Source organism: Homo sapiens, chromosome 6, assembly GCF_000001405.40.
Source record: "Homo sapiens chromosome 6, GRCh38.p14 Primary Assembly".
NCBI lineage: Eukaryota > Metazoa > Chordata > Mammalia > Primates > Hominidae > Homo > Homo sapiens.
The window spans coordinates 137,497,584-137,519,423 of NC_000006.12; the positions used below are offsets into that span (position 1 = coordinate 137,497,584).

The 21,840-nt window shown below is 39.2% G+C and overlaps 1 annotated feature.

Moving 5' to 3' along the window:
* Positions 15,769 to 16,063: a silencer, noted in NCBI's record as "tiled region #8938; K562 Repressive non-DNase unmatched - State 22:ReprW". NCBI's record gives its function as "represses a minimal TATA promoter and a strong SV40 promoter by Sharpr-MPRA in K562 cells {active_cell/tissue: K562}" and the evidence as "EXISTENCE:reporter gene assay evidence [ECO:0000049][PMID:27701403]".

The window sequence follows — 21,840 nt, forward strand, 5'->3', positions numbered from 1 at the left end:
GATTTCTTTCTGAGGGCTGACTACCAACGCCCACCCCAGACTTGTACGGAAGGAGAGAGTAAAGGAGTCGCCGCCTGGCCAAGGCTGCAGCAGCCTACAGAGGCTCAGCCGGAGACGCACCATGACCTTGGCCCTGGCCGAGACCCCTTTCGGAGGGCTCAGACCGGCGAGGAGCCGGAGCGAGCGACCCTGCTGCGGTGGCTCGGGCTGCGCTCTCTCGGGCCACACCCCGCGCCCTCGCGGCTGGGGCGGGCTGCGCCGCGGAGGCGGGGATCGTTCTCCGGCAACAGGTGCGTCCCAAGGCAGGCAGGCTACTTCCCTCCAAGCCTGTCTTGGCTCTGAGAAGAGCCTGGAGTTTCTCAGCCTTCCTACAACATATGAAAACAGCGGGTCGGCGCGTGGACCGGGGCAGAAGAGCCGTCCTGCTGTACCCGCGCGCCCAGGGCGCTCCGCGGGGACCGCGCACTCGGGAAGCTGTGCTGTGCTCAACACCCCCCTGTGCCTCCCAGATCACCAGGGATCGTCTCTTACCTGACACCCAGTGCGCGCCGCTCGGTGCCCGACGCCCACTGCTCCGCAGCCTTAGCCACCGAGTTCCTCTCCAGCAGCTGCCGGCTCTGCCTGAGGCCGCGGCGATTTTGGCTCAGGAGCGAACCCCCACCCCCACCCCCGCAAGAGTCCAGTAGCAAATGTCGCTAGCTGACCTGCCGAAGAGCTACTGTGAGAGGCAGGTCAATCAGCAACGTCCAGGGGCTCCTCTCGCTCATCAAGCAGCAAACTTGACCAGCAGAAACTTTGGCCGAGACCGAAAGGCGGGAGGCTGCCCTGTGGGCTTCACCTTTCAACCCAACCACCCTCCAAGACAAAACAGAACAAAAAAAGGAAACCTAAACATTTCTAACTATGTTTCCTCATGTGCAAACAAGGAATAGCCTAAAAATTAGTTGACCACGCGGAGAAACTTCTCAAAAAGTGCATTCTTTAGCAGAGTAGAACGATAACTTCACAACAATAGCAGTGGGGGTCCGGTCACCAGGGCCGTTAGGTTGATCAAAGAAGCCAGTACCAAAAAAGAAAATAAATAAATAAATAAATAAATAAATAAATAAATAAATAATAAGACCAAAAAAATTTAAATATCAACATAAATCGCAGTCAAGCAGGAATAATCTCTTCCTGCAGCAGCGCATCCCGAGTGATAGTGTTTGGCTTAGGGCACGGAACCCTGAGCCCCTAGATTGGGAGATGCCAAAATCAGAATTCCAGCAATTAAATAGGTGATACAAGGGCCAGAGAAGATGGATCTGGACAGACTGACTAAAGCGATTCCATTTTCTGGGTTTCCCCATATTTTAAATAACATCTTGAAAACTTACTGATCTGTCCAGTCTTCCTCCTCATCTTATTAAAATCCAGTTTTCATACGGGGAAAATAGCAGAAGTGGAAGGGCAGCAGAATTTTATGAGCTGGTAGTAACTGCTTTTCACAATATTGGATGTGAGGCTGGAAGATGCCAGGCAGTCCCAGAATAGCACAAAATGATGAGGTGCTAATTATGTGAATATATAGACAAGTTAATACACTGGCAGAACTAGAAGTTTGATTTTAATGATGCATAAGCACCAAGGCTGGCTAGAACTTACAAATTCATTATAATTATTTAAAGACTCACGAAAGTCAAAGGAAATATGAAGTTCTGGGCTTCATTTATAGGATTTAGCTCAATTAGTGAGCATCCTTCAGTACTCTTTTTTTTTTTCCTTTCTAGTAACATCTGCTCAATTGCCAAAACCTCAACCGAGTTTTCCTCCTGTAGAAAGCCAATAAATGGAAAATAATTTTTTTCTCAAGATTGAAATGTTTGGGTTGATTTAAATATCACTGGTGATCAATTACATAAACTGATGAGTTATATTAAACTTTGCATACTTATATGCACATTCTTGGCATGTGCCCTGACATTCTGGATTTGTGGCTCCATTAATACCAATACTTTAAGAACCACTAAGCAGATGATTTTTTAACAGTATGTTATTGTTATTAACTTATTTCTTTTATGAATTGATAGTTACAGCCACCGTATACAATTTGATATCTCAATATAAAAACACAGAATACTAATTCTACTTTTTGCTTTTGGAGGTTATTTGATCATCTCCTGGCTATATTCTATTAGATAGTTAAACACATATTGCTGTATTCTTTGCTGAAGTGCTTAAGGAATTTAGTTTTATTTTAGAGTTATCTTATGTAGCATATGTATACCTCATTTTGACTTCAGTAATATTCAGATTTATGCACACACAAAGTATATAAGTAAATAGATACCACAAAGAGATTAGAATATAGGTATAGCATCTAACTATAAAGGAACAGCAGATAAAATGAATGTTTACACCTATGACAACAATTTATTACACTGCTTTTTTATTATAGGTACCTATACATGTAAGTTCTGAAGTTTATATGTATATTAGCATAGAGTCAAATACATTAAAATATTTCCTTGAAGTCTTTGGGTTCTAAATAAAAATAAATAAATTATTTTCAGATGCTGTCTAATGAAGACAATGGAAAACATATTAAATATCTGTTTATAAGTAACGTTGGATTTGAAATCTTCTCACATTGGCTTGACTCCTAACAAATATAGATTTACAAATCTTATTTTGAGAAAATTGTAAATAAGATTCTGCTACTGAATCTTGAAAAATAAAAATGGCAATTTTCTAAAATCAGCCTTTCAATGGTTGATTCATTTTATATACCATTTGTGGTATGGACCAGGTGGATTTTGCTTCATCATTTCTGAAAACAAATGAAAATGTAATAAATTGTACTTTCTCATTAGTGCATTGTATTTTTCTATCTATAGATATGGTTTTGGTTTGCATAACACCAACAGCCTGAATGTAAACGATATAAAACCCAATTATCACTGTTTACAATATTGACTAAATTTTCATTTTCATTTTTACATCATATTATAATATATACTAAAATTAAAACAATTGCCCAAGTAATTTAAGTGTTAGGTCCTGTTTTTCTTTTATTTTGCAGGGCAGAGGGGAGGAGGAAGATAGGGAGAGAGGAAGCAGGCTGGAAACAAATTTTCACTTAACATTTCTAGATATTTATCATTTTATATTTTACTTGCAGACCAGGCTGAATCTCCTGTTTAACAATTGAAATATATTCTCAACAGTACTATCAAGAGCTGTTAGTAAAAGCTTCTTATAAATTTGAGCTACGTCAATTTTTAGAACAAAATAATAATGGAAATTAATATTTTTACATAATATGATATCATTTAAGGTATTCATGAAAGAAAGTTGATAATTTTCCAGGTCTTTTTTTTCTAGTGATTGTGATCGTTCCATCCTATAATGCTTGGTAGTAAAGAAATAGCAGAATACTGGAGCATTTGTCCACGGAAGTGAATATTTCAGTTAGATAACCTTAAAAGAACTTTGGTTTTTTTCTTCATTTTATTATGGCAAGTGTGATACATTTGAGTAGACTTTTAGAAAAATAAAACTTTATAATGAGGGTGAAAAGAAAGAAGGAGGAATAGAAAACACTATGCACGTATCCTTAGCTTGTAATATATAAATTTAATCCTACCCTTAAGTGCATTTTATGGAGTTGTTTGTGCAAAAGCACTTGCAAAATATATGTTAACTTTATAGATGCATGGAAATTGTAATGTTGATTCTAACATTTTAATAAAGAACCCATTTGTGGCCGTTTTCCAAAGGCAAATGTATAGCAAGTTTGTCAATCATGTTTAAATACCCTATGGATTCTGTGGCACTGTCATTCACCATTCATACACCCTCCAATATGTTGAACCAGTCAAATAGCCTGAGATAAAGCTGTGAGAAGAATGAAAACACTGAGTAATCCTTCAGGGATGGTACTCCTGAGTATAAGGACAGCTCAGAAACTGTGCTGCAGAGGCAAAGTGAAAAACTGAGAATACCATCAGACTGAAACTCTGCTAGAAATAGAATCAGAATAAAAGAAATAAAATAGAAGAAATACAATAGAATAGAAATAGAATTTTTAAAGTGAATACTGTGGATAGCCTAATGTTGTGGAACAGTGTTCTCAAATAAGTTCTTAATTTCCTCTGTTGCTAAAAAGAAAAAAGAAAGCTTTAACTCTATATTGAGGGACAATTAAAGTGGCCTCATAGTTGTTCATCATGCAAAAATGCATCTACTTAAATAAGAATGCAATACTAGAAATCTGTATTCAGAAAAAGACAACTCTCATTTGATTGACATAGATCTCTAAGCCTATTATTAATTATTTCCAGAGAAAAATTTGTTTTCTCTGGGGAAAGCTTTTATATGTGATTTATTTGCCTGAGAGGAAATCAGATGCTGTTATGTGTATAATTTCAAGTATACTCGCTACAATTGTTCTATCTCTTCATCTGCGTCAAAGTTTTACCTCTCATGAAAGTAAAGCAGGGGATAATAGCTCTTTTGCTCCCATTAGACATATTAATTGAAGTAATTGCATTAAATGAGAAGTAATGCCTTTGGGAAGGTAATGCCAAGAACAGACACCCAATAGAAAAGTGTTGCCAAAGGTATGTATGGGAGGAAAGATATGGGCCAAGAGCATATAACAAACTCAACTCAAAAGTTTAAGTAGCTGTAGGAACTAAAAACTAGTAAGCATAGGCCTACGCAGCTTGGAGTTGTAAACATTTTAAAGATAGGTCTATAGTAACAAGGGCATAGTTCCTCTCTGTTGTGGTGTCTCACATGTCCCTGTTTGGGAAAGACACCAACAACCATGGGAACAAAATTAACATCAGCACAAAAATATTGCATATGTTTCTTTAATAAGTTGTCTGCTGGCTAAAGCTTACAAATACCCTGGGATCATAGAAAAGATGAGCTCTTGGAGAGATATAAACTATTTTTTTGATAACTCCTATGTTGTAAACATAGAGATGTCACTTCTGCACTGGAGGAGCACCCTCCCTATAGTATGAAGGGCAGAGGCAGATATTAGAGAAAGAAAGACTTCACAACCCATCAGAATTTCCAGATAGGATTTACTAGTTACCAGGTATGCACACTTTCACAAGTTTCTTGCCATTTCTGAATCTTCGCTTTGTCATCTGCACAATGAAAGTAATGATACTTGTGACATATACCATTGTGAGGATTAAATAAAAGAGTTTTGCAAGGTGTTTGTAAGCTATTCACCTAGATGGATCAGACATAAATTTCAAGAGCAAAATTTTAAAACATTTAATAAAAAATAAATTTATTTATAATCTTGAAATAGAGATGGATTTATTCAATTAGGCAAAACCAGAACTATCTATAAGAGAAAAAGATTGACGAGTGTGACTACATAAAATAATGATACTTTATCAAAACACACTGAAAGACTGTGAATAGTGAATAGTTATTTTTAAACTTGGAAATTATCTTTGTAGCACAACAGTATTCCATAGGCCTTTCTAGTAGGAATATAAACTGTCATAGCCAGTTTGGAAAACAGCTTGATATTGTCTTGTAAAATTTAACATTCATGTACTATATGACCCCAAAATTCTACTCCTAGCTTGTACGCCTCCACCTCAAACTCTTGAATCTACATACCTAAAGACATATACTGCAATAGAATGTTCATAGTATCACTATTCACAATAATAAATAGTTGTTGACAGGGAAATACATAAGTAAATTAAAGCACATGCACAGAATTATTCAGCAGATTAAGTGAATGAACCATAGCTCCATGCAAAAATATGAATAAATCCTATTAAGAAAAAATTAAGAGAAATAATGAGAGTCCCAAAAGGTTACATGGAGAATGATAACAAATTTTGTAAGGTTAAAAGCAACTAAAACAAAGCAATATACTTATTAATATATTACTGTATTAGTCCATTCTCATGCTGCTGTGAAGATATACCTGAGGCTGGATAATTTATAAAGAAAAGAGGTTTAATTGATTCACAGCTCTGCTGGGGAGGCCTCAGGAACCTTGCAACCACGGTGGAAGTTACCTCTTCACCGGGCGGCAGGAGAGAGAATGAGCGCAAGCGGGAGAAACGCCAGACGCATATAAAACCATCAGATCTTGTGAGATTCACTCATTATCACAAGAACAGCATGGGAGAAACCGGCTCCATGACTCACGTACCTCCACCTGGTCCCGCCCTTGACACATGGGGATTATGAGGGAATTCCAATTCAAGGTGAGATTTGGGTGGGGACACAGAGCTAAACTGTATAATGCATATTAAGCATATACTTAATATACTTATTAAGATTACACAGAGAAGTGGAAAAGCTACATTTAAAAAAGAAAAAGCAAGCAAGGAAGAGAAGAATCAGCATAGATTCAGGATAGGAGCTACTTCAAGTGAAGGAGGAGGGGTATAGGATGGGAGAGAACCACACAGAGTTATAAAAGTTATAATCAAGGCTTCAGTTTCTGGATTGGGATGGGCGTTCACAGGTGTTCATTATATTATTCAAAATAGACACAAACATGAATGGACCAATGATAAAAGTACTTTCTAGGGCCGAGTACAGTAGCTCACGCCTGTAATCCCAGCACTTTGGGAGGACAAGGCGGGTGGATCACGAGGTCAGGAGTTCGAGACCAGTCTGACCAATATTGTAAAACCCCATCTCTATTAAAAATACAAAAATTAGCCCAGCATGGTGGCACCCTTCTGTAATCTCAGCTATTCAAGAGGCTGAGGCAGGACAATTGCTTGAACCTGGGAGACGGAGGTTGCGGTGAGCCGAGATTGCACCACTGCACTCCAGTCTGGGCAACAGAGTGAGACTCTGTCTCAAAAAGAAAAAAAAAGGCGGGGGGAGGTCTAATATGTGTTCACTTGTAAAATAATCAATGAAATGAAGAGAACTCTTTGTTCTCTCTAATTAGATAGAGGATAGAAGTTGAAAAAGCTAATCCATCATGCCCACCACAGTTTACTCCTTTGGTTATCTGATATCTGTGTACACCTCCTATCCATAGCTGAACTTCCAAATAGCAACTATTACAATAAAAACACACTTGCATCTGACATAACTCAATTACCACTCATAAAAATAAATGAACAACAGTAACAAAAATATACTTACTGGGAAACTTAATATTCTACCACTCACTAAGTCTATCACTGAGTAATTTTTATTCTTCTTCTAATTTAGTCAATTCTACTTCATATAAGGCATTCTATAGATTAAGTTATTCATTTAGATACAACCAGGAATGGCAGTGCACACCTGTAGTCCCAGCTAGTTGAGAAGCTAAGGTGGCAGGATCCCTTGAGTCCAGGAGTTTGAGGCCGCAGTGAGCTATGTGTGATCACAGCAGTGTACTCCAGCCTGAGTCACAAAGCCAGATTTCATCTCTAAAAGAAATTTTAAAAATACACACACACACACATGAAGACAACTTATGCGAAATAGTGGATGAACAACAGAAGAGAAAAAAGGAAATGGGTTAATATATATTCATATATATCATATATATTTAACACAGTATGAAAAAGTATGGGCAACTGTTAATGAATGTATAGTTATAGTTTTAAATTTCTTTGCTCTACTATCTGTTTCCTATTCCCTTTGTCTTTTGCTAACATCTCAACTGACCAGGCTTCTCGGTGAAGTAAGTCAAGCTAACATTCCGTGGTAGTCCTGCATGTAAAATGTTGCTATGATCATCCAGGAACTTTTACTAGTGATTAGAAAGTAGTAGCATGTCCCCAGATGAGCTCCTGTATTGCAGATATACTCTCCTTTACCCACTTTTCTGTAGCAAAACTATTTTTTCTTGATATTTAGTATAAAAATAACTTCAGCCAACATAACAATATACTTTTTTTCTCCTTTTGGTTGAGTGGTGTGAAAAACCCAAAATGGCCAGATGGTAGTCTCAACTTCCAGTTTATTAGAAGTAAATGTGTGTCTTCCTGTGGAAGCATTTCTTCCTTGGTAACTAGGACTGTTAACTAGTAATGGAAACTAGTACTGGAAACTAGCAATGAGGATGGTGTGACAGAGACCGATAGCAGGCTACCAAAACCTTTTCACCCCTTCCTGGCTTCCAGATGTTCTTACTCTTAGAAGCAGCCCTGTGAGTTATTGGTGATAGATGTGAGTGGAAGTTCTAAGCAGTCTAGGAGTTAAGATACAGGGCATGCCTCTTTCACATTTTCTTCCTTCTGTCTACTATCTGATCACACTTGAACCATGCAGATCATGAGGACACGTTAGGTCTTCGGAAAACAATAACTTAGATTCTAGGCTCCCCACTTATAGTGTAGAGCAGAACTGCCTTCAAGACTTGGACTTTTACTGTTGAAACTATCACATGGACAAGAATGAAATTCCCTTGTTCTGTAAGTCATTTTATTTTTGGCTTTCTTCATTAGAGCAACCTTGCCTATATAACAATCTTATCCTATTTTATTTTTTGTTTTCTTTTGCTTTTTTTTTAAGCAATCTTACCTTATGTAGATACACATCAAACATTTTCAAGTGGGTCACTAAATATAATAATGAGACATGCTAGATGGACTAAATCATGTCAGAGAGCTAAATAATCTAGGCAAATGTGAACTTCTGCCTTTTCCACAAATGTGGACTTCTGCCTTTTTCAGGTGAAAGTAAACTGTGTTCTCTGCTTAGTTGGATTTAAAAAAAATTTACAAAATTGATAACCATTATTAAGACCAGTGGAAAGGCCACACTGTTATGCTACTATGAGATATAACATGTGGAAATGGTTATACTTCCAAGAAGTTTGGCAAGGTCATTCTAGTCCCAAGTGTGAAGTAGTCTGCAGATGACTAGGTTTAAGGCTTGGCACCAATAAGCACTCTGAATAAAATGTGAGTAGCACATATACCCTACTATGATTAGCTTGTCACATATTGTCAACAAACCTTAGCAGAAAGAGACAGGCTGAGGAATGTTTGGTGAACATGGCTTCTTTTGTCTCCTCTGTTCTTCACAGGTGACATGCTAAGATTGGTGGTGATAATATTCAGCCTGTACAGGGAACGGCCCTTGTCTTGTCTTTAAGCCCCAAGCAGAGGTTTACTTAGCCTCATACCTTTGACCACAGCACCTTGAAACTTCAGGATATTGACGTGATGTGCGTTGTCTCATCTTGCACCTAATATCTGGGTTTTGGATCCAGTTTCTTACTGGACTACCAGTATCATCCTGATACAATGTTCACAGGTTATTTCATAAGGGCTAGAAATAACTCATTCACTAAAAATATTTATTAAGCAACTGCATCATGCCAGGTATTATTATAGGCACAGAGAGTTTTTAAATGAGCAAAATAACCTCATTCCTTCCCTTGATTGCCTTGAATTATAAGGGAAACACATAAATGAGCAAAATGCACGTTGTATCAGATGATGACAATTGTTACAGAAAAAATAAGGAAGGAAGGAAGGAAGGAAGTAGAGGGTACTGAGGAAGGAGAAATGGGATGCTGGTAGTGACAACAGTAAATAATGGAGAGGAAGATGTCCAGGAAGTCGATTTTTCATTAAAACCTGCAGGAGGCAAAAGACCAAGTAATTTAGAGACCCAGAGAAAAAATGTTTCCGGCAGAGAGGTCAGCGGATACAAAGAGGCTCTGAAGTAGGTGCAATCCTGCATGTTAGAGAAATAGTGAGGCCAATGTGGCTGAAGTAGGGTGAAAGAAAGAGTAGCCTGGGCGCGGTGGCTCACGCCTGTAATCCCAGCACTTTGGGAGGACGAGGCGGGTGGATCGCGAGGTCAGGAGATCGAGACCATCCTGGCTAACATGGTGAAACCTTGTCTCTACTAAAAAATACAAAAAAAATTAGCCGGGCGTGGTGGTGGGCTCCTATAGTCCCAGCTACTTGGGTGGCTGAGCCAGGAGAATGGCTTGAACCCGGGAGGCGGAGCTTGCAGTGAGCCGAGATCGCGCCACTGCACTCCAGCCTGGGCGACAGAGAGAGACTCTGTCTCAAAAAAAAAAAAGAAAGAAAAGAAAGAAAGAGTAAAAAATATCAGAGAGAAACTGCTCTTGCGTTGGGGACAGCAATCGAAGGTGCAGAATGTACAGCGCTTTGCAGGAAATTTTAAGTTCTGCTCTTTAGTGAGCGCGTTGGCTTCCACTCTGAGTAAGTATGGCACCCCTGAGAGGGTTTTGAGCAGAGGAGTGGCTTCAGCCTACTTATACTTTAGAAAAATCATTCTGTTTTATTGAGAAGAGACAGAAAGGGGCAAGGTTAAAGTCAGGGAGATCAATTAGGAAGCCATTGCAAGCAACAGGTCAGGAAATAAGTGATGGTGCCTTGTACCACTTGTTTGGTGGAGGTGGTGAGAGGTGGTCAGATTCTGAATGTAATTTGAAGGACGAGCCAACAGGATTTGCTGAGATTGGACATGAGTATGAGAAAAAGAGGTTAAAGATGACCTCAAAGTTTTTGAATTGATATCTAGAAGGATATAGATGCAATCAACTGTGTCAAGAAAAACAGTGGAGGACTCTGAAGTGGGAAAAGAAGAGATTAAAAGAAGAATGAGTGTCCTATCTAACTCACTCATTCAGGTTATCTTGCCTTTCGTTGTCTTGAAGGTGTTTTGTAGCTCTGTAAATTGTAGAAAATTATTCTTGTCCATAGAAGAGCATATGGAGTGTGTTTAGTAGAATTTAATTGATGACTGCCTATTGGTAGACCATTTTGCATGTTATTTGTAAATTTGTTTCAGAATGTTTCGTTCTCTATATGTGTTTCTACTCTTTGAGTGCTTCTTTGAATTGGTTGTAACATATTACTGGTTTCTCTCATAAATTAATGAGTTAAATAAAATATTTGACTTGATTTTATTTTATATCTGTATTGGAGTCGTGGTTTTTATTGTTTTTTATTTTTGCCACTTATCTTTTGGCAATTGAGATGGGAAAAACTGAGCGAGGAGATATTTTGCATAGGGTAAGTTTGAGATGCCTGTCCAAATGAAAATATAAACATTTTTCTATCCATATCAGCCATTCAGGGAAAGACACGAAAGAAGTGAAATAAGCCAGTCACAAAAGGACAGATACTATATGACTCTGCTTATATAAGATATCTAGAGAGGCCGGGCACAGTGGCTCATGCCTATAATCACAGTAGTTTGGGAGGCCAAGGTGGGTGGATCCCTTGAGCTCAGGAGTTTGAGACCATCTCTACAAAAAAAGCAAAAAAGTTAGCCAGGTGTGAAGGTGTACGCCCATTATCCCAGCTATTTAGGGGGTTGAGGTGGGAAGATCACTTGAGTCAGGAGGTTGAGGCTGCAGTGAGCCATGTTCCTGCCACTGCACTCCAGCCTGAGTGACAAAGTGACAGCCTGTCTAAGTCAATCAATCAGTCAGGTATCTAGACTTGTCAAACTCATAGAAAGTAGACTGGTGGCTGCTGAGAGCTCAGAGAAGGGAGAAATGGGGAGTTGTTAAATGGTTAAAGAGTTTCAGTTTTGCCCGACAAAGAAGTACTGAATATCAGTTGCACAGCAATGAGAATATACTTAACACTAATGAACTGTACACTTAAGAGGGTAAATTTTTGTTATGTGTATTTTAGCACAATTAATGTAACAATAGAAATACTACTGAGAAACAAGATAAGGCTAACTCACACACACAAAAAATCCCTAAGTCTTATGAAGAAATATAGCATCTATGAAAATCAAACACACTACAGGGAGATTTTTACTATGACTAGTTTTCATTGGAAGTCTTTTCTTTCTTCCAATCACTCAATTGTGTGAAAAAGTTGGAGAACTTCAAGGAGGAAGCAAAGGGAAGAACAAGTCAATCTGAAAGCCTGTTGACCTGCAGAGTGTTGCCACTGACACTAGGAAGAGGCTTTTACAAATATCATATTAGTACCGCATGTAAAACAATTTTTAGGGCTGGGCACAGTGGCTCATACCTGTAATTCCAGCATTATGAGAGGCCAAATTGGGAGGACTGTTTGAGCTCAGGAGTTTGAGACCAGCCTGGGTTACTTAGCAAGACCTCATCTCTACAAAAAATAAAAAAGCCAGTCACAGTGGCATGTGCTGGTGATCCCAGTTGCTAAGGTGGGAGGATCACTTGAGCTCAGGAGGTCAAGGCTCTAGTGAACCATGATAATGCCACTGCACTCCAGCCTGGGCGATAGAGCAAGACCCTGCCTCGAAAAACAAAACTAAACCAAACAAAATGACTCCACAATTTTTAGAAAACAGGATTGCTTGGGGAAAAAGAGAGATAGAAGATAGAGCTGTGAGATTTTTATCCATTAGGAGACTCACAGAGTGGTGTCCTCTTCAGCTTGTCCTCTTTCAATACACTGATACTTACTTTATAACTGGAGGCACTTTATATGTGTTGAACACCTACTGCGTGCTAGGTACTTCACAAGTAGTACTGCTAATCCCAGAAACAGCCTGCCAAGGTATGATTATCCCTACTTTAGAGATGTGGAAACTGAGGCTCAGCAAGTTTATGTAGCATATCCTAGGACACATAGTAAGTAAATGGGAGCCAGGATTCAATTCGGCATTGTCTGACTCCAAAACCTATATCTTATCTCCCACACAATTCTAAATAATTGTCATCAAAGTGTGATTCTGGGAACCAGGATCATGGGCTTATACCTTCACCCAGGAGTAAAGAGATGGTGCCTTTCTTCCCCCTGCCAGAATGATTTCCACAGAGACCAGCTAATACAGGAGACTTATGTAAGATCCAGAGTCTCATAACATAATACCCCAAATGCCCAGAACACATGAAAAAAGATTCTTCATAACAATAACCAGGACAACTTCAATTCGAATGAGGAAAAGGCAATCCACAGACAACAACACCAAGATGTCACAGATGTTGGAATTAACTGATAAGGACTTTAAGACAACCATCAAAAAAAATGCTTCAGTGATTGGCCGGGTGTGGTGGCTCATGCCTGTAGTCCCAGCTACTCAGGAGGTTGAGGAGAATGGATTGCTTCAGCCCAGGAGTTTGAGGCTGCAGTGAGCTCTGATCACTCCACTGCACTCTGACCTGGAGAACAGGGTGAATCCCTTCTCTAAAAACATTTAAAAAAATATCTTTTTCAATGAGCAATTATGAACACATTTGAAGCCAATGAGAAAAATAGAAAACCTCAGCAAAGAAACAAATAACCAAATGGGAATTTTAATTTTGTATTTTATTTTATTTTTTTGAGGCAGGGTCTCATTCTGTCACCCAGGTGGGAGTGCAGTGGCACAATTATGGCTCAATGCAGTGGCACAATTATGGCTCACTGCAGCCTCGACCTCCTGGACTCAAACAATCCTCCAGCCTCATTTTTGTTTTATTGTAGAGATAAGGTCTCCCTATGTTGCCCAGGCTGGCTTCAAACTCCATGGCTCAAGCAATCCTCCCACCTCAGCCTCTCAAAATGCTGAGATTATAAGCATGAGCCATCATACCCAGCCCAAATGGAAATTTTAGAGATGAAAAATACAGTAACCAAAATAAAAATCTCACTAGAGGGTCTCAATAGAAGAAAGGAGGAGACAGAAGGAAGAAGCGGTGAACCCGAAGATAAAACAATAGAATTTACCCAGTCTGAACTGAAGAGAGAAAACAGACTGAGCAAACAATGATTACATTGGGTGAAATGTAATTTGGCACCAAACACTTGAGATCACATCTTATAGGGATGGTGCCTCATCATAAAATGTCACTTCCTAAATAATTCCTGTTCCAGAGCTATTGCAGTTAAATTGTTTAATGGTAACATTTTTTTTTCTTGTAAAGGTGTGACTGTTCTATGGAAGACATAATATAAATGTCTTTCCTTCAAAATGATTACAAAGTGAAACAGAATGTTTAGGTTCTAAAATACTTTTTAAAAGTATGTAAAAGCAGTTTGTAAATTGTACAGTGCTAGGAATGGAAGCTATTATTTTTTTTTTTTTTTTGAGATGGGGTCTTGCTGTGTCGCCCAGGCTGGAGTGCAGCAGCACTATCTCGGCTCACTGCAAGCTCTGCCTCCCGGATTCACGCCATTCTCCTGCCTCAGCCTGCCGAGTAGCTGGGACTACAGGCGCCCGCCACCACGCCCAGCTAATTTTTTGTATTTTTAGTAGAGATGGGGTTTCACCGTGTTAGCCAGGATGGTCTCGATCTCCTGACCTCGTGATCCGCCCACCTCGGCCTCCCAGAGTGCTGGGATTACAGGCGTGAGCCACCGCACCCGGCCGAAGCTATTAATATTTTACTCCAACCCCTTTATTTCATACGTGAGGAATTTCAGGCCAAGAGAAAATGAGTGACTCACTTAAGGTTAACAGCTAGTTAATGACAGAGGGACTGGGCCTCCAGTCCAATAACAACTCATGTAAATATCTTTTTCATTAATCAAAAGAATTTTAAAAGAGACACTTAACCATAAGAAACAATAAAATTTTTAGCACCATCTTTTTACTGAAGGTAATATTCTGGAGTTTATGAGAAGTTAACTTCAAAAAAATCCACAGCATTGGGAAAGATGACAAAAAACAATCAAAATACATCAAAATATAACTTTATAATTAAGGTTTCCTGTTGCTAAATATTAATAAAATAAAAAATTTGTTATCATCTCTAGCAAAACTTCTCTTATGTGTTAGCTAATGGGAGTTATGGAATCAGTGGTAATACAATATGACCTAAAAATACAGCCATTGTTTTCCATAGATGCTCTGTTGCTTGATGAAGGAAAATAGGCCTTTATAGAAATGGGAGATTAAGGGAGAAAGAAATGGGTTGCTTCATAACCTGAGAACAGAAGTGATTGATAAGAAAAATAATTATGTTGCATGAATAAGAAGAAGGTGTGTACTTATGCCTCTACATCAAGTGTAAAAAGCAATTCCACTATTTCAACAACTGTTTTTCAGATTTCAAGTGTAATGCTACTATATTTTCCTTCACTTTTTATTACCCATTAAGCCCCTTAACACGCCCCCTCCACCACTACCAAATCAAACCTCTGTTCTAAGTCAGTGCCAAGAAGCTGAGTTTCATTGTTTCTCCCATGCAAATCAAGTTGTGAATATTTTGCAAGGGAGATCCTGCAAGAATGTCTGTATACAAAATAGTAAATCACAACTGGGAAAGAAACTTGCTGGAGACGTGTGCTCTGTTTTATGTCATTTGGAACAATAGCAATCACCAAAATGCAGAAGTTTGTGATTTTAGAGCCTGGGAGCACCGCTATTTGGTTACCCAGATTACAGGCAGTGGTATGTTGGACTGGATTAAACCAGAAGAGGAATCTGTTTATCCCCTCTGCTTTAAACACCAATAAAAAGCACTGTTCCTCTCTTGAAGGTGCTGAAATGCAAAGCAAGCTCCCTACTCCTTTTCTCTCTCTTGGTGGCATTTGAACGTGTAAAGCTTTGAATACCAATTGCTTGAACTGGACATATGTGAATCTCTTCTAATCCTACTAATCCTGTCCCCAAGTGCTTCTTTGTATGTGGAGGCAGCACACATAGATCTAAGTAAAAGTGGCCATAATCCTGGAAATGTGGAAAAATGTCCCAGTGTGAGAGATGCGAGAGGGAGAGCTCCCTGGCAGAGGGACCTGCTGAAGAAGCTATTGTGTCAGTTCAAGGAAAAAGAGGGGGGACCGAGGCTCAAGGGAACATATGAAGGAGCCCTCTCACCTTTTCTGAGCTCCTGGGAGGAGAACAAACCCACCCAGCTGGAGTCCTCCCTTGCAAACAGCCTTGGTACACTTGAGCAAACTTAACAGAACTGAGACAGTTTCCAAAGGCTGGGAAATTCACCCAGCGGCTGCTTTCAGTGGCCTGAGCCCAGCAGGCCGGGGCCCGACGACGTGAGGGCTTCATTATGCTGCAGAATTTCCTTTAAGACAGCCGGCCTGTTTACGGATTTCTGAGCCGTTGCTCCCTCTCAAACAGGAAGGGAAAGAGTGGCGGAAATTTCAGTAGAAAAACCAAGACATAAAATAATCCTACAGACTCTATCTTGTCAAGACTTTTCAAATAGAAGCAGGAGATACACAGTGAGTTTCTAAATTACTCCGTTTTGCTGAGGCAACTTGTGAGACTCTGACCATCCTGGTTGCAATTGTCCGTAAGGAGGCACCGCAGCTTTTGAACTTTCTAAAGGAAATGTGGCCGCATTCTCCTCCTAGTGAAGAATGCGTGAATCCATCCATTCACAAATAATAACTTTTGCAAACAGAGTATTTTAAAGTTTGTGGAATATTTAATACCGGTTTTTGAATCATGTTACAAGGGCTGAGTGCTGATTAACAGTATAAGAGTTACATTTTTCAAAAAGCATTTCCAGTTTTACAAGCCCTGTGAAAAAGATGATGTAAATACTGCAATCTCCATTTGATGGAAAAGATATCATAATTATATTAAAGAAAGTTCACTGATCTGAAAGCATACATTTTTCAACCCAAATATGCCTGACATATTTTAAAAGAACCATCAACACAATACCCCATCCAGGTGGTTAGTACAACTTAAAGTTGTATCAGGTGCTACAATTCAAACATATTTATTTCTTCTATTTTGTTCAACTCATGTTCGTTGTTCATTTGTTATTTGTTTGTTTTATAAAATATTAATTGCTATTTAAAACTATGCAAAACATTTTAGGCAAACATTATTTTCAAAACCCAGGTCCTCTTAGGGAAATAGCCTGACTGTACTTAATACTGAACTAGAAGGTTAGTGGTGCCATAAATGTAAATGAAATAGAGTATGCAATATAATACAATCTAAATATATAAAATAAGCAACCACAAAAGTATCCTCCTTCCACACCTGAGAGAACAAAGTTTTGAATGAAAAACGTTGCTTTGTTGATGTGAAACAAACAAACAACCCTCCCTCAAAAAGACAGATATTAAGGATCCTAATTATTTTACTTAACGAAACTTGTTATGTATCAGGCACTATTCTAAGGAACTTACAAATATTGAAGCATCATAATAGCCCTATAGGGTGGGTGCTGTCATTGCCTCCATTTACAGATGAGGAAAAAGGGACTTGAAGGGACTTGGTTACTTGCCCCAGGCACGTGGCCCCTGAGCCACACTGGAAGGCATCCCAGCGTCTACAGTCCTCACTCCTGGCCTCTCTCCCAGCTGCCTCTGTTCTTGAGACACCCACTCTGAAGACGTGGCTATCTAGGTTGCTAGATGTCAAATTTACAGCAATGAGAAAACCCAAACGAACGTAAAATGCATTTTTAAGGTAGTTTGTTGAGAGATAAAGAAAAGCAGAATCAAGACAATGATTGGCTTGCATCTCCTGGCAGCAAATTCGAGCACAAACATGAAATTCAGTGAGCTAGAAAGCTTTCTACCTGATTTGGCAGAACAAAACTCCAAGAAGAAATTTCTAATAAGATTGATGAAATTTAAATCCCGTTTAGTGCTGTATGTCCGACAGACCTAATGAATATTTCTCAATGAGTATTATGAAAGATTTCCACAAAGCAGAGTAGAAAATTGAGGTAGTTATTTAGAATAGATTTGTGACCTTGGGAGAGCTGTTTCCTCAGTCTGTGCCTCAGTTTCCTCATGTCTAAAATAATCTTGAAGGTCCAGTCTATCCCAAAAATATTTGTGATTCTAGAACTTATGTAATTTCAGATAACAACAATAAACCAAGCAGTCCATAAATAAAGAGCTCATGGGGTTAGTGTATACAGCAAGTTAAATATGACTTATCCTCGGGATTCAGTTACCTCAGCCTGACACCTTTTGTCCTTCTTCACCTCCTCTCAGGCCACCTTCTCCTTAAGCTGTTGCTGTTGGTAGGCAGCTTCACACCTGGGGTATCCCATACCTCTCATATCTTGTGTTTTGCACCAAAGCTCCTGTAATGGCAGAAATGGTTTTGCTCATGCATGGACATGGAAGGGACTTGACACCCCCTGGGCTAACCCTGGATCAATGAGGTGTGGGATCCAGTGGATACCTGTGCTCCTCTTCTGTTCCCTGGCAAAGGATTTCGAGGTGCATTCTATACAACTCTTCAGAGGATCCTGGCCAGACAGAACCCCTGGGATCCACAGTAGTGGCCAGCTGGACTTTGCATCCTTGTGTTGGAGCTCAGGACTTACCACCCCAAAATATGGCTGCAGAAGACCAGAATAGGCTACCTCAAAATATACCTCTTAGACATATTGATTATTTTGAGCTGGCTATTTGGAGGAACTGCAGACACAAGAGTAACTGAAAAGTTACCCTTTCATAAGAGAAATTTATATCTGATAAAAGAAAACTTCAGCCGAATTATGTTCAAAAGAATTTAACTGAGAAATGAACGATTTGTGAATTGAGCAGCTCCCAAGCCCGAGTAGGCTCAGAGACTCCAGTGCAGCCATGTGGTGGAAGATTTATGGACAGAAAGAGGAAAATGACAAACGGAAAATGGAAGTGAGATACAGAAACAGCTGGATTGGTTATAACTTGGCAATTTGAACATGGTTAGAACAGTTGGCTACATTTGATTGGCCAAAATTTGGTGATTGGCACAAGTGTAGGCTAAGGTCTGTTTACATCTCCACTTGTTATAGTTCATGATGTACAGAGAAACCTTTATGCCAAGCTTAAAATATGTAAGGAGGCAGCTTTAGGCTAAACTTGATTTAACACATCTATAAGGAAACTTTTGTTAGTAAAAATATCTACCAGGAAGAGAGCTGCTCCAAGACAACTTTTATCATCTGAGAGACTTTTGTCTTTGTAACCAGGCAACCTTTATTTATCCTATATTTCCTCCCTCATCCTCCCATAATTTGCCCCCACCACGTCTTAGAAGCCTAAGCCCCAATTCCTTTCGGTAGCTCAGGATAATATTTGAGCCTCAATCATCCAGCTACTTCTTTCAGCGTCTTATTTTTGGGTTTTTCTCCTGTTAACCTGTCTCATATTAATTTAATCACAAATCAGCCAAACAACGTAGAAGGGTAGAAAGAAGCATTTTTTTTTCCTCTCCTACACCTGTATTGGCTGTTCTTTATTCTGTTTTATTCTTTTCATTGCTTATTCCCATTTTGTTTTGGTTCTACTTCCCCCAAATACAACATCTGCACACAACCTCTTATCTATGTACAAGCTCTTATCTCAGATCTGTTTCCTAGGACAATCTTGGCTAAGACATTCCTTAAAACAAGTGCAGTCAGACTCTATCAATAGATGTATATGATGTTCAGAACTAGGGAGGGGATAGTAACTTCCTTCATAAACTGATCAGCCCCAGGGTAAAACTCTATGCTTAGCATTGCCACCGCATCTGAAGAAGGCATTGACAGGCAGAACTGGCCCAGGAGGGAGCCTCCAGAATTTGGAAAAACTGAAAGCTATGTCACGGAACCCAGCAGATAGTACTCTGCAGAATAGTATTCATCAGAGAGCATAATTTATATCATTAAATATTAGAAGAATCTGCGTACAATGGGTGGAAAAAAACAACTTTATCAAGTCAATTTTAGAAGAAATGTTTAACAGCTCAAAACTTAAAAAAGATAAAAAGGAAAATTGCTGTGGCAGGTAGCATGCTTTCTCAATCAGAAAGAACTGAACAATTCTTGGCACAGAGCTCACAGAGGGAACCCTTTGATGGGCCGAACTTGACTTTCAGAAGAAAGTACATTGTAGCTTTAACTCAAAACTCGGCTTTCCTGATGGAAATCTGGCCTGAGTTCTAACATTCTTTCACAGAACATACATGAGGTTTTTAACAGTGCCAGAAATTGACAAACAAAAATGAGTAAAATGAAAAAAAAAATTGACCCTGAAACAAAACGAGAAAATGAGTTTCTGAATGAGCTAAATTCACTCTTGCAACAAATAGCGGAAGCGGCAAGAATCGTCAAAGTTGTTCCATTAATGAGAGGAGTTTTGGAGTTGAAGTTATTTGCCAAGTACTAGACTAGAACTGAGACGCACCCGACTGCACGTGGTGTTTTGAATGGAATTCTAGAATATGGAGGAGTTGCTTTGAGAATTTAAAGGCGGGAAGGAGCTCTCTGAAATCCACCTGCCGGCTCCCAACTTTTTCTCATCCTTGCACTTTGCAAGCAGCACTGCATGTTGAGCAGATGAGGAAAGGACCTTAGCTCTAGAACCCTCCCTATAACTTAAGTGGTGACAGAATTTTTCTAAGCTGAAGTTTACTCTGCCTTTATGTTAAAATAAATGTGATAATGCTATCTTAAAAACAAAAGCATTTCTAATATAAAACACTGTCTAATTGGGCACAGTGCAGCCTTGGAAAGATGTAATAAGCAGGAAAGTTACATTGATTTGTTTGTTATCACCTTAATTGTTGATTCTGCTGTGTTAAAAGTGATTGTGGTTGTGTTAGAAGTGAAGCAGTTTTCCAGCTGCAATGCTAATAAATTCCAAGATCAAACAATATCTTGCTAATTACTGAGTTCATGAGGACAAGTTCAAAAGCAGAGTTACGTTCATAATCATATGTTTCAAAGCACCTTGAAGCAAAATAAGTTCCCAATTTGTGGCTCTAATACTACATACTTGGCCTTTTTTCCTTCAGAATGTATCAAGGAAGTACATTTTTTGTGTTTTACATTATTAATAATGTACAATTTAGGGAACAAAATTCTTTGGCAAATTAAGAGACTTAATACAAATAACGTAAAGCTGAAAGCTCATCATTACCTATGTAAAAATACATCTAAAGGAAGAAAAATATGACATTTTAATGAAGGAAATGAAATTAAAAGCCACTGGGCATTCATTTTCCCTCCTCCAAGCTCCTTACATGTAGACAGAAGAAAATGAACTCACAGGGAAGTTGAGGCTCTCCTAATCCCGTTGCTCTCTTTCCAACATTTTGTTTTGGTTGTGCCTGTAAGAATGAAGGAGACACTGGCCGTCATCCAAGAAACCCCCCCCACTTTTTTTTTCTCCTTAAGCAAAAACTCACCAGCAATCTGGAATGGTTTAACACCCCTTGTTGGTGTTATTCGGGTATTTCTCAGAAATGCTAATGAACAATTCACTTTGGCACTTTAGATAAACACAATCTGGTGGTGTTATTTGGGCATCATTCACACTTGCTAATGATTGACTCTCTCTGGCTTTCGTATGCAAGAGCCAAACCTATGACGTCGTTGGGGGCCTGAAAAGCAAGTAACTAGCTCACCTTAGGGGAAACTTGTAAGTTGATCAGCTTTAGGTTTAAGCTGGTGGTTGCTTAGGCATGGCCTACTCAACACAAGACTGGCCAACTGGAACAAAACAAACTTCAGCCACCTCCATCAGCGCCACATCTCAACTGTGTGCAAGCACTTACCTGGCATTCATCTGTGTATAGTGCTGTGTTTAATACAACACCAAGCATGGTAAACAGACACAGTCTTTGACCTTCTGAGGTTTTATAACCTAAAAGGAAGGGGCAGCAGAGACAAACATATTACTAGTTAAACTATATATATAGTGAGTTAAACTAGCTCACTGTAGTTCCAGTGCTTTGCAGACAGTGGTACAGGAGAAGCCCTTTTAATATTCATCAAGCACCTGAAGTCAGTTTCTACCGCTGTTTTTTGTTGTTTGTTTGGTTGGGTTTTTTGGTTTGTTTTTTTAAAAAAGACCAAAAAGAAGCATATTTCTGCACCCCTCCCCCCTTTTCTAGAGGAAGAATTGAAGAATTCAGTTTTTATCAATTGTATTTAGTTAATTCCAGGGATCCTAGGCTCTGAGACCACAGTTTTATCTAAACAAACCCATAAGTCAATGACTGTAAGATTTATATAAGGGTGAAGTTGTTTTATCA